The 14,366-nt window shown below is 42.1% G+C and overlaps 1 protein-coding gene across 15 annotated transcripts in view; it reads left to right on the top strand.

Moving 5' to 3' along the window:
* The window catches only part of USP48 (ubiquitin specific peptidase 48), a 104,852-nt gene extending 90,721 nt beyond the window's left edge, over window positions 1–14,131 (top strand). For all 15 annotated transcript variants that reach the window (XM_047432030.1, NM_001350164.2, NM_001350166.2 and 12 more), the window contains 4 exons: window positions 2,330–2,455; window positions 5,190–5,238; window positions 11,595–11,621; window positions 12,990–14,131. In XM_047432030.1, coding sequence (XP_047287986.1) covers window positions 2,330–2,455; window positions 5,190–5,238; window positions 11,595–11,621; window positions 12,990–13,012 — 225 coding nt within the window. In that variant the 3' untranslated portion in view covers window positions 13,013–14,131. The remainder of the gene's footprint in view (window positions 1–2,329; window positions 2,456–5,189; window positions 5,239–11,594; window positions 11,622–12,989) is intronic.

Raw genomic sequence — 14,366 nt, 5'->3', positions numbered from 1 at the left:
TGACATTATCCATGTTAAGTTAGCATCACACACATCCACCGTAGCTCTGCTCAATCTTCATGGTTCCGGAACATTTGCTGGTGTAGGGCTGGATATGCCTCTGCTTGATGTTTGCATGCTGAGCTGGCTTGGATAGAACTGTCCTGTCAGTACTCCTGCTTATTGCTTCATGAAGACCATTGATGATGCCAGTGCACTTTTCATTGCTAGCCACAGATCTCTGGCTAGTCCATCCCTGCCTGCTTTTCAGGCGCTGATGTTCTTTTGAAAAATCCAGGTAAGATTCTGTCCCAGCAGTTAGGGAGGAGGCCAGTGCTGTTATCCTTGTTCTTATTTGTCTTTGGTGCGATTATTAAAATCACTTTTCTGGTCCCCATCACACTGGCCTGTCAAGCTCTTGGGCCCTGTTACACACACAGTTCAAGGTTGATTTGTGAGGCTCGTTTTGTCTTTCCACATCCAAAGAATAGAGTGCAGGAAAGGGCAGAATGGTTTTCCCATGACATCATGGGTGTTGGTGTAATATAAGATACATGTAATAGCATGCATTTTATGGGTAAGTTAAAAAGCATACTAATATGAATATTCTTGAACTTGTCTACCGAGTTAAGAATTAAAACAGTGTCATTGAAGGTTACCTGTGTTTGCCTGTCTGAGCCCAACTTCTTCTTGCCCTCCAGAGGTAAACATGACCCAGAAATGATAAAATTTAAAAAACAAACCTTTCTGAATTTGTAAAAACATTTAAATATTATGTATACCAGTATTTTGGAATGTATGTATGATTTATTTTTGAGATAGTGTCTTGCTCTTTCGCCCAGACTGGAGTGCAGTGGCGCAATCTCGGCTTACTGCAACTTCTGCTTCCTGGGTTCAAGTGATTCTCCTCCCTCAGCCTCCCAAGTAGCTAAGATCACAGGTGCATGGCACTATTCCCAGCTAAATTTTTGTATTTTTAGTAGAGATAGGGTTTTGCCATGATGGCCAGGCTGGTCTTGAACTCCTGACCTCAGGTGATCCACCTGCCTCAGCCTCTCAAAGTGCTGGTATTACAAGCATGAGCCACCACACTCATCTGGAAAGTATTTAATTTTTTTTTTTTTTTTTTTTTTGGAGATGGGAGTTTCGCTCTTGTTGTATAGGCTGGAGTGCAATGGCGTGGTCTCAGCTCACCACAACCTCCATCTCCTGGGTTCAAGCAATTCTCTGGCCTCAGCCTCCCGAGTAGCTGAGATTACAGGCATGTGCCACCATACTCAGCTAATTTTGTATTTTTAGTGGAGACAGGGTTTCACCATGTTGGTCAGGCTGGTCTCGAACTCCTGACGTGAGGTGATCCGTCCACCTCGGCCTCCCAAAGTGTTGGGATTACAGGCGAGAGCCACTGCACCCGGCTGTATTTAATTTTTAACACTTGGCCAGAACTGGGGTGGGGCATATGGTCCCTACCCTTCAGAAATTCATATTTTGCTTCCTAGAGACAAAACTCAGTCTAAGAATATGTGACAGTTCCAAAGGCTGAATTACATACCCCAGGCCATTTGCTAAAGGAATAAGAACAAAAGAGAGAATTTAAAGATGGTTTTAAGAAAGAATTTTGGGCCAGATGCAGTGGCTCATGCCTGTAATCTCTGCACTTCGGGAGGCTAAGCTGGGAGGATTGCTTGAGTCTAAGAATTCGAGACCAGCCTGGGCAACATAGCAAGACCTCATGTCTACAAAAATAAAAAATAAAAAATCCGCCAGACATGGTAGCACACATCTGTAGTCTCAGCCACTCAGAAGCCTTAGGTGGGAGGATCCCTTGAGCCTGGGAGTTCAAGGCTGCAATGAGCCATGATCGCGCCACTGCACTCCAGCCTGGGTGACAGAGTGAGACCCTGTCTCAACAACAACAAAAAAAAAAGAAAAAGAAAAAAGAAAGAATTTGGACTTGACTTGTTGATGAAAGGATATGGGGCCTGGGAAAGATGAGGTGACAGTGATGACCTTGCCCAAGCCTCAGAATAGCCATCAGCCCAGCCCCACTTTTTATTCATTTTATTTCCCCACACCTCCATCCTTGGGAAGCTGGTAAGGTAAGGAACAAACGCATCTATATGTGTAATTGTTTCCTAATACTCTACCAGACCTCTTAAGGATGTTCCCGGATATATAGGGACGATAGCCTCAGTAGGAGTATAACAAGTAGGCTGACTGTAAACAATAGTGGTTTTGTACTCTGAAGCCTTTTTTTTTTTTTTAAGAATCCATGCATAATTTATTTAAATAGGGTATAAGTCTTAGTATTTTGCATTATACGGACTTTCTCTCTTTTATATTGGCACAGATCATGCATGCATTTTCAGTTGCTCCTTTTGACCAGAATTTGTCAATTGATGGAAAGATTTTAAGTGATGACTGTGCCACCCTAGGCACCCTTGGCGTCATTCCTGAATCTGTCATTTTATTGAAGGTAAGTAAACAGCTCCTTAGCTGAAGAACTCAAGGTTTTACATGTTACATAACTATGTGTAAACTGTGTGAAATGGTGGTTAAAGGATGCCTTGGGTCTTTAGCAGAGGGTAGTGATAAATGACTGCTGTGGGTTTTTGCAGCTCAGCCCAACTCTGGCTGAGCCCCAGGAGACTTAGAGGAGGTCAGGACATCATCTATCTTGTTCTTGTGTGTTATAGTAGGTGATGTTACGCCACAGCATCAGCAACTGCTGGTACCCTGAGAAGGTGAAAGTGAAGGCTTTCCTTGGCCTTTCCTGGATCACCTAGATCAGTTTCTATGCCTTTGTGGGATCAGGGTACATCATTACTTTCCTGTTCCCTGGTAGGGCAGGGCAGTGGTATAAATCCCACTCACCCAACTGCTAAGCTCCACGCCTGATTTTTCCCATTTGATTTTCTGTCACAAGGGCCCCCATTCTTCTCCAGATACAGATCTAGTTTTCATTCCCCTCAGACTGGGAGGAAGGGAGTGATATTGGGTTGTGGCCCTCTGAGCACTGAGGATTGACTGTCATTCCAAAGGGGCAAGCTGAGTGATCTGGTCTCAGGTCACAAAGTTTCTGTGGTGTCCCCTCCCCAATGCCCTCCAACCCCCCGCCCCCCGCTTTTTTTTTTTTCCTTTTTTTGGACTAGATGGATCTGTTCTTAAAACCACACTAATGATACTGATGTCTGCAACTTAATTTGAAATGCTGCCCCCACAAAAAAAAAAAGCAAAAAATGGGTAGAAGATAGACTTGTGACCAATGCAAATAGTAACTTATTTTATACTTTAAAATCTATCTCTGCTGAGATTTTCATAGTTTTTCTTAGTTAAAAGTAGATTCAGCCTCCTCTGTAACTTTTTCCCTAACTTCCGGTTCAGCAGAATTACTTAACCATACGTCATAGTATTAAAGTATCTCCTCTTTTCCTTTTGGTTCAAAAGGACTAGCCAGCCAAGCTAGGAAACAAGGGTAAAACACAAGGTTCTGTCACAACAGTCAAAATACACGACTTAATGGGATTCTGTCCAAGGCATGGAAATTGGTTTTGGATTTAGTAGATGTAGAAAGTAGGGGCTTCTTCTTTTTTTTTTTTTTTTTTTTGAGATGGAGTCTCGCTGTGTTGCCCAGGCTGGAGTGCAGTGGCACAATCTCGGCTCACTGCAACCTCCACCTCCCAGATTCAAGCAGTTCTCCTGCCGCGGCCTCCCGAGTATCTGGGATTACAGGCGTGTGCCACCACACCCGGCCAATTTTTTGTATTTTTAGTAGAGACAGGGTTTCACCGTGTTGGCCAAGCTGGTCTCAAACTCCTGACCTCAGGTGATCTGCCCGCCTCACCTCCCAAAGTGCTGGGATTACAGGTGTGAGCCACTGCGCCAGGCCTCAGTGACTTTTCTTTGACAGTGTCTTAGAAGCCCCTACTTTCACTGGGCGCAGTGGCTCACCCCTGTAATCCTAACACTTTGGGAGGTTGAGGTGGGTGGATCATGAGGTCAGGAGTTCAAGACCAGCGTGGCCAGCATGGTGAAACCCCATCTCTACTAAATATACAAGAAAATTGGCCAAGCGTGGTGGTGGGCACCTGTGATCCCAGCTACTCGGGAGGCTGAGACAGGAGAATGGCGTGAACTCGGGAGGTGGAAGTTGCAGTGAGCCGAGATTGCGCCACTGCACTCCAGCCTGGGCAACAGAGGGAGACTCCGTCTCAAAAAGAAAGAAAGAAAAGTCATTGAACCAGCCTCATTTGCCCAATTCTACCCTCCCTAAGGGCCTAACTTAGTCGCTTCCCATTGCCTCTTTTGTTTCTTCTTGGCCAAAAGAATCCCTACTGTGCCGAATACCACCACATCATGTGGTAGAATCATTGTTCAGGTTTTTTATTTTGAACTGTGAAATGTATGCTTTTCAAACCTTGGAGCCCCCGTTCTGGTGTGATAAAGTTAGGCCCTGGAATGATGAGGCAGACCCATATCTACCCCATCCATGCACACACACCCCTCATCCCACCACCTAACCCCTCCCTCTGTTTAACATTCTGCATTTCCTGGAAGTATAGGTTCTGTGAAATGGTTTTGAAAACACATTGAGTTGCTAGATCCTAATGATCCTGTCTAAAGTCCTAAAACAGCCTGTATTGTTGAACGGTTTGTACTTCACATGGGCAGCTAGAGTCTGTACTGGTCATTGGCTTCATTATCCTTGCAGCTAACCTTATCATAAGCTCAGACATCATAAGCTTCCTCCTAAAAAGGAAATGGGTATCTTGTTCTTGCTGGTGAAGTGGGACAAAAGTATAATTTTAACCTAATTGGTATTCTGAGAGGACCAGTATAACTTTTTATTTGTACCCCTCACTGCCACTACGAGTATCTTAGCTCACATTGGTTTAATCAGTCTTTAGTAACCCCAGGGTGTCTAAACATTTCCATGTCTAAAGGTGTCTTTAAGAATGGGAAAATAGTCCCCCCTGCCTTTCCTCTTCACACACACAGTATACCACTTCTGCAGTGTTGACTCTAGACCCATAGCCAGCAGGGCATCTGCTGTTAAACCTGGACGCTGCTGGCTGTGGCTGAAACTGAGTTATCTACTGGACAGTGTGTTTGTGTCTTATAGCAATATCAGTAGTTGAATCATGGGCCATACTTCAAATTTCAGACTCCCTCTCCCTTGTGGTTTTGAATTGTCTTCATTTGTTTTCTAGGCTGATGAACCAATTGCAGATTATGCTGCAATGGATGATGTCATGCAAGGTAAAGATGAATTTGTTTTAGGAATCTGCTGATTAGGTTTTAGACGGAGGTGGGATTTTAGATATTGAAGCTTTAGTGTACAGTGCTTTTACTTTGAACCTTGAAAAAAGCTTCCACATATTGTTACAGTAGAATACATTATCTTAAAAGATCATAGAAAGGAGGGAAAGATATCTACAAAAACTTGGAAAGCTAACCTGAGGAAACTGAAATAAATGTGAGCTCTGCCTGTGGAGGAGGTCAACAAGAAGCAAAACTAAGTCAGATTGCAGTGCCCCAGACAGGCACACACAAATTAGAGGCCTAGGTACCTCTGAAGGTGGGAATGAATTGTGAGCCTAAAAAGAAGATAACATGATACTTGTTTGGAAAACTGTATAAGAAGCAGTTAGACAACTCTCTACCTTTCACATCCTTGTCACTTCCCCATCTCCACCTGGACCTCAGATGGGCACCCAGAATTATGTGTTTCCACACTTGGAAAAATTAAACTAGAAAGGTGGGAACGAAGCCTATACCAAATAGGAGACCATCTCTTAGCCCTTTGCTCAAATTCGGGCAGCCCATTACTTACCCTCCCCCAGGTGGGAAGGGATTTCTCTCCAGGGAAACTAGTCAAGAAAATAACCAGTGGATGTAAAAAGTCTGGTTCTGTATGATCAAGTGAGATTTCTCCCAGGGATGCAAGGATGTTCAACATATGCAAACCAATACATCACATCAGCAGAATGAAGGACAAAAATCATATGATCATCTTAATAGACAAAGAAAAAGCATTTGATAAAATTCAACATCCCTTCGTGGTAAAAACTCTCAAAAAACCAAGTACAGAAGGAACATACCTCAATATAATAAAGGCCATATGTGAGACCCACAGCTGACATCATACCTAATGGCGAAAAGCTTAAAGCCTTTCCTCTAAGAACTGGAATAGACAAGGACGGCCATTTTCACCACTCTTATTCAACATAGTATTGGAAGTCCTAGCAAGAGCAATTAGGCAAGATAAATAAGTAAAAAGCATGCAAAATTGGAAAAGAGGAAGTCAAATGGTCCCTCTTTGCAGATGACATGCTTTTTTTTTAGAGTCTTTGTTGCCCAGACTGGAGTGCAGTGGCACCATCTCAGCTCACTGCAGCCACCACTCCTGGGTTCAAGCAATTCTTGTGCCTCAGACTCCTGAGTAGCTGGGACTACAGGCATGTGCCATGACACCCAGCTAATTTTTGTATTTTTACTAGAGATGAGGATTTCCCATATTGGCCAGGCTGGTCCCGAACTCCTGGCCCCCTGTGATCTGGCCACCTGGGCCTCCCAAAATGCTAGAATTACAGGCATGAGCCACCATGCCAGGCTGACATGATCTTATATATGTAGAAAAACCTAAAGACGCCACCAAAACACTCTTAAACAACTGATGAACATTCAGTAAAATTGCAGGATACAAAAATCAGTGTACAAAGTGAGTTTCTGTAGTGTAGTGATTATCATGTTTACCTAACAAAAATCAACATACAAAAATTAGCAGCATTACTATACATCAATAAGAACTAGCTGAAAAAGAAATCAAGAAAGCGGCTGGGCGCAGTGGCTCATGCCTGTAATCCCAGCACTTTGGGAGGGTGAGGCAAGTGGAGCAGTTGAAGTCAGGAGTTTGTGACCAGCCTGGCCAACATGGCGAAACCCCATCTCTACTAAAATTACAAAAATTAACCAGGCGTAGTAGCGCATGCCTGTAATCCCAGTTACTAGGGAGGCTGAGGCAGGAGAATTGCTTGAACCCAGTGGATGCAGTGAGCCAAGATCGCAGCACTGCACTCTCTAGCCTGGATGACAGACTCCATCTCAAAAAAAAAAAAAAGAAAAGAAAGCAATTCCAATAATAATAGCTACAAAAAAAAATAAGATTAAATACTTAGGAATAAATTTAACCAAGAAGGTGAAAGACCTCTACAAGGAAAACTACAAAACACTAATGTAAGAAATTGAAAGATGCAAACAAATGGAAAGATATCCTGTGCTCATGGATCAGAAGAATTAATATTGTTAAAATGACCATATTACCCAAAATAACCTGCAGATTAAATGCAATTCCTATCAAAATACCAATGACATTCCTCACAGAAATAGAAAAACACAATCCTAAAATTCATATGGAACCACAAAAGACCCTGAATAGCCAAATCAATCCTCAGCAAAAAGAACAAAGCTGGAGGCATCATGCTACCTGGTTTCAAAATATACTACAAAGCTATGGTAACCTAAACAGCATGGTATTGGTATAAAACATAGGACAATGGAACAGAATAAAGAACCCAAAAATAAATTCACGTATTTACAGCCAACTAATTTATGACAAAGGCACCAAGAACATACACTGGGGAAAGGGCACCCTCTTCACTAGATTTTGCTGGGAAAACTGGATATCGATATGCAGAAAAATGAGACTAGACCTCTGTCTCTCACTATATATTAAAATCAACTCAAAATGGATTAAAGACTTAAATGTAAGACTTGAAACTATGAAATTGCTAGAATTCAATATGGGGGAAATGCTGTCAAACATTGGTCTAGACAGAGATTTTAGCTGAGACCTCAAAGCACAGGGAACAAAACCAAAAATAACCAAATGGACTATATTAAACTAAAAAGCTTCTGCACAGCAAAGGAAATAATCTGCAGAGTTGAAGAGACAACCTGTAGAATGGGAGAAAATATAATCTCATTAAACAGTAGGCAACGGACCTGAACAGACATTTCTCAAAAGAAGACATAAACATGGCCAATAGGTGTATGAAAGATGCTCAGCATCACTAATCATCAGGGAAATGCAAATCAAAATCACAGTGAGATACCATCTTATCAGTTAGCATGGCTATTATCAAAAAGACAATAACATGTAACTAGGATGCAGAGAAAAGGGAACTCTTATACGGACTTTTGGTGGGAATGTAAATTAGTACAGCCATTATGGAAAACAGTATGGAAGTTTCTCAGAAAACTAAAAATATAACTACCATATGATCCAGCAATCCCACTAGTGGTATTTATCCAAAGGAAAAGAAATCAGTGTATCGAAAGGATATTTGCACTCTCATGTTTATTGCAGCACTGTTCACAACAGCCAAGGTATGGAATCAACCTACATGTCCATCAGTAGATGCCTTGATATGTTATATTTATATGTAGACATACAATGGGATACTATTATTCAGCCATTAAAAAAATGAAATCCTGTCATTTGCAGCAACATGGGTGGAACTGGAGGACATTATGTTAAGTGAAATAAGCCAGGCTCAGAAAGACAATACTGTATTTTCTCACTCATACGTAGGAGCTAAAAAAGCTGATCTTTTGGCTGTAGAATGGTAGTTATGAGTGGATGGGAAAGGGGCCATATGAAGGGAGGTTGGTTAATGGGTACAAACATACAATTTGATAGAAAGAATAAGTTCTGGTATTCAGTAGTACAGTAGGGTGATATGTTGTATATTTCAAAAGAGCTAGAAGAAAAGATAATGCAATGTTCCCAACACAAAGAAATGATAGGCCGGGCGCAGTGGATCACTTGAACCCAAGAGTTCAGGACCAACCTGGGCAACATAGTGAGACCCTGTCTCTACTACAAATTTTAAAAAAAGAGCCAGGCATGGTGGCTCGCACCTGTGGTCTCAGATACTTGGGAGGCTGAGGTGGGTGGATTGCTTGAGCCGGGGAGTTGGAGGCTGCAGTGAGCTGTCATCATGCCACTACACTCAAGCCTGGGTGACAGATTGAGACCCTGTCTCAAAAAAGAAGAAATAATAAATATTCAAGGTGATGGAGATAACTAAATACCCTGATGTGATCATTATACACTGTATGCATGTATCAAAATATAAGCTGTTCCCCATAAATATGTACAAATATTATGTTTGGCTTTTATTTTTTATTTTTTATTTTTTTGAGATGGAGTCTCAAAAGGCTGAAGTGCAGTATGGCTCACTGCAACCTCCGCCTCTGGGCTTCAAGTGATTCTCCTGGCTCAGCCTCCTGAGTAGTAGCTGGGACTATAGGCATGCAACACCATGCCTGGCTAACTTTTGTATTTTTGGTAGAGACGGGGTTTCACTATATTCGCCAGGCTGGTCTCAAATTCCTGTCGTCAGGTGATCTGCCCATCTCGGCCTCCCGAAGTGTTTGGATTACAGATGTGAGCTATTGCACCTGGCCTTGTTTGTATTTTTTTTAAAGCTGGTTCATGTCCCAGGCACCCTTTAGTCAATCCCACCAGTGCCCACTGAACAGAGCTTTCAGACATCTTTTTTTTTTTTTTTCTGAGATGGAGTCTCACAGTTGCCCAAGCTGGAGTGCAGTGGCATGATCTTGGCTCACTACAATCTCCCCGTCCTGGGTTCAAGCGATTCTTCTGCCTCAGCCTCCCAAGTAGCTGGGACTACAGGCGCCTGCCACCATGCCCAGCTAATTTTTGTATTTTTAGTAGGGACAGAGTTTCACTATGTTGTCCAGGCTGCTCTGGAACTCGTGACCTCATGATCCGCCTGCCTCGGCCTCCCAGTGTGCTGAGATTACAGGCGTGAGCCACTACGCCTGGCCCACAAATCTTTTTAGTACCTCATACTTAAGTAAATATGAGCAGTCAGATAGTTGAGGAATGAGAGCCTGGGACCAAGATATGTCGAGGAAATAGCATAGGAAGCATAAGAAAGCTGGAAAATAACCTATAAATAATGGCAAAAAAAAAAAGCAAACAATAGGAAGAGGAACTATATAAAAGGAACATTTGGAGCATAGAAGAGAGTTCATGGAAATGTAAAAAATGATGGTACCCTGGGTTTGATATAGTAAGTAAAAAACTAAGGGTAAGAGGGTCATGAAAGCATCTAGAAGTAGGAGGGAAAGCCAGTCAAATTCACAGGATGAAGTCAGGAAGATAATAGAGCAGTGCCCGCAAGATCCTGAGGGAAAGCAAGTTCCAATCTATAAGTCTGTAACCCTCACACCTGATGGCCCCTTGAACATATTCAGGGCTTCAAAAGATTGATCTGTCATGCACCGTCTGCCATGATACTGTGTGAGGATGTGTTCTTCTTCTTAAACATTAAATCAAGAAAGAATCAACAGTGGACCCAGTAAATAGCAGATCAGCCTAGGATAAGATGCCCTAGAAGATGGTGAAGGGAAGTCTCAGAACTACTGTTCTTCAGCAGGCAGCGAAGACACCTGATCCATATTGGAGTGGTGGGATGCGAGCTTCAGGAAGGGATGCCACAAGGAAAAGTGGAAGGGATGATGACTGTCTTCAAGAGGTTACAGGTCTTTAAGAATTTACACGTGAATTGGAGATAAATACAGAGAAAATGAAACACATCAGTAATTCAGTAGTTACCAAGCCCAGAAAGACCAAGTCATACCATGTAGTAAATATAACCAAGGTGCACCAAGGCATTCAACTGTGACTAGTATTAATGGCGTAAAAAGTAATGCCAGCGCTGGAGACTGGCTTAACAACAACAAACACCACTTCATCAGGAGGATGGGTCGGGGCAGGTGCTATGTAAGTGGTAAAACAGCTGTTTGTATCCTTCACTGAAGAATTTATTAGATTTTTATCTAAAATTATGAAGTAGGCCAGGCACGATGGCCCACTCCTGTAATCCCATCACTTTGGGAGGCTGTGGCGGGCGGATCACTTGAGGTCAAGAGTTCGAGACGAGCCTGGCCAACGTGGTGAAACCCTGTCTCTACTACAAATACAAAAATTAGCCAAGTGTGGTGGTGGGTGCCTGTAATCCCAGCTACTTGGGAAGCTGAGGCAGGAGAATTGCTTGAACCCAGGAAGCAGAGGTTGCAGTGAGCCGAGATCATGCCACTGCACTCCATTCTGGGTGACAGAGCTGGACACCCTCTCAAAAAAAAAAAGTAAATAAAATTATGAAAAGCATGTTATTTAGAAATAGGCTAAATACCAGAAGAAGCTGCTGTGTGAGTCAAAAGTGACTCCTTCCAGAACTTGGGAATGGGAGGAGGAAGGGGAGAGAGACAGCTCCAGAGGAGTCAGTTACATGGCTTCCTCCCAGGCCACTCCTAGAGTCGTGCACTAGGTGTGCCCTAGTTACAAACCTTGTCCTGTCAGTATTTGACTTTTTAAATGATGCATACGTATTGCTTTGATAAAAACAGAAACAAAGATTGTTCTGAAATTAGTAACATCCGTAACTTCAAAGATGATTATTACAGGTGACAAAGGTAATCAAAAGTTATTTTAAACTTTTGTCTTTAAGCATTGAAATGATATTACTGTCTGTCACGACAATCTTTTCAATTTGGAATTCTTCTTTTTTTCTTTTTTTCAGTTTGTATGCCAGAAGAAGGGTTTAAAGGTAAGTTACATTTGTCATGTTTTGTTCATGAATGTCAGAGTCATCCTGTAATTTTCTGTTAAAGCGAAGGCTATAATTTGATTTTAAATTTTAATCCAATCTGAGTCTCATGACTGAAATTAATTTTAGTTAAATGCATTTCTTACTCAAGCTTCTTCATTATCTTTTTCAACACTCAGGCCTCAAATGGGGCCTCAGCTGGGGCTTTTGTGTTAGAACTGTTTCTTGCCAGATGTCCATTTGGCCTTCCCTTTCTCATTTTATGGGAGGTTGGGAAATTAGCTAGTGGCATTTCAAGATTTATTTTTAACCTTTTCCCAGTTCTTCCTATCAAGTCCCCTCCTAGAGCAAAACAGTGTGTAACTATTAAGAATTAGTGGCACAAGAATTTGTCAGGTTTTATCAAGTCCAGTGAAAAGATTTAATTAATCACTTAGCATTAAGGCATTTGTTGGATTATTACTTCAAGAGGAGACACGGTGGTGCTCGTACTACATCTGGGCCATGTAGTTGTGCACACCGATAATATTCAAGAAGTCATCAAATACAGACCTCTGACGTTTTCGGATTTTCCTGTTGCTGTCTTGATTCTTTGCTGGCCACTCCAGAAGCCCCTGGCAGGTTGTGATTTTCTAAGGAATGACTTTGAATCACATACCAGCTATTCCTTGCTAAAGCAAATGAGAGACAAATCTACTGGCCAAAATAAAGTCTTCCTCTTGCTGCAGCTGTGTTGTCTGCATGCTACCATTACAAAGGGACTCCTGATGGGGTCAAAACAAAGCAAAAAACGTCTTTATGAAAAATGGTCATTGGCCGGGCATGGTGGCTCACGCCTGTAATCCCAGCACTTTTGGAGGTTGAGACGGGTGGGTCACTTGAGGTCAGGAGTTCGAGACCAGTCTGGCCAACATGGTGAAACCCCATCTCTACTAAAAATACAAAAATTAGCCGGGCATGGTGGCGTGCGCCTGTAATCTCAGCTACTTGGGAGGCTGAGGCAGGAGAATGCTTGAACCTGGGAGATAAGGTTGCAGTGAGCCAGGATTGCACCACTGCACTCCAGCCTGGGCGACAAGAGTGAAACTCTCAGAAAAGAAGAATGGTCATTAAATGAAAGAATCAATAAAATCTGGTTAGTTTGTGTGAAGATACACTTAGGAAGCACATGGCTTTCAACAAAAATGTGATTTAGCGGAGAGCCTGGAGTCTGCTGGTATTTTGTCTTATCCTCCCACACCAAGGTGCGACTGTGTTCATTTATTAAATTTGATGCTCCCTGTTGATGATGTGTTCTTGGTAAATGGAATCCATGAACTTTTAATCTGTAGTTCACAACTATCCCTCCACGTGTGTTTCTTTTCCCAGGTACTGGTCTTCTTGGACATTAATCTTTGAATACTTGCTGACTGCTAAGAAATGACCAGAGGGGAAGAGGAGTTTGACATGTTAGGGCATTAAAGCAAAGGTGGATTTAAGAATTAAACCATTACATGCCCCTTCCAAAAGGCAGAAATCCATTCAAACGTGACTGTCCCAAATGCCTTATGTCAAATAAAGCAGATTGCACTGATGGACATCAGACTTGAAGGAAATGTTTCCAATTTTATATTTAAGGGGGGTGGTGGGTGGGAGGGGGCAAGTAAAGACGGAACAAGTTTAGTAGCAGTAATAGTAAATCATGTTTACATATGAGATTTATAGTCGTGGGAGGGGAATAAAGTTCTGTTATATTTCCTTGCTCGAGTTTCATACCAGATGCGTTGGTCCATAAAGGATTGTATCAAGTAGATGGGACAACATTCTGCTCTGAACGAAAAGTAATTTTAGAGACATAACCTGCTTACCAATGCCTGTCTTTGATTCATATTCTACTTTCAATAAAGCATGAAAGTGAAGAACTTGTCCTAAGTGTGGAAAAGTGTCTTCAGATTTAGACTCTTCTCCATGTCAGCTGCAGCGCCACCCGCCTTACACCTGCCCGGCCGTCTGTCTCTTGGTATTGGGTAAAGGAGGGGGCACCTGCATGTCTCCTGCAATGAGCAAGGAATTATGTCTCATGTTTTGACTTCAGAGGCTTTTTGCTTTGGTGCATTTCAGAAAGGATGGAGAACATTTATTATGTGTGAAAGCATCCTCTTCCGGTTTTGCTGTTATTCAAAAGTGGGAAATGTACCTGGCACGTTTGAAAATAAAAAATCTGACTACCTATCAGAAGAGTAAATCAGACTGAAGTACATTTGGATAACACAAGGTTTCTATAAAATTTGTTCTTCCTGTCCTCCATGTCACTGTTTCTTGGACCTCAGTTCTCTTTTTGAAAGCATTATTCCAAAATGCCCTGAGAGGGTCTCTTAGATCATTGTTTAAAAAAGGAAAAAAGTATATGGATGTGCTGTCCATCCAACTCAGGATTATCATTCTTAGCAACACGTAACCGAAGCAATATTCTTAAGAATATTGAAGGGGTTTTTTTAATTGAACTTAAGACTGGAGTTTTTCCTTTGAAAAAAAAAAAAAAGTTTTCTCTGTTGAGTCCGTCTGTGTAAGTTTGTGGCTGAGATGCTAGCTTAGGCATCTCTCTTGTTAACACTTTTCTTGGCCTTGGGTTTGTGCAAGGCTTTTTCCCCCTTTCATGAAAATGTGAACTCAGATCATGGATGGGGAAGGCAGATTTTGATTTGAGACCCGATAACCTTGGCAGCATCCCTTTTGAATAGCTCCTTTTGTCAGAGTAATTACGGC

The sequence above is a fragment of the Homo sapiens genome, chromosome 1, assembly GCF_000001405.40.
Source record: "Homo sapiens chromosome 1, GRCh38.p14 Primary Assembly".
NCBI lineage: Eukaryota > Metazoa > Chordata > Mammalia > Primates > Hominidae > Homo > Homo sapiens.
The sequence above is the reverse complement of the archived record's forward strand: the minus strand, read 5'-3'. Positions and strand labels throughout refer to the sequence as shown.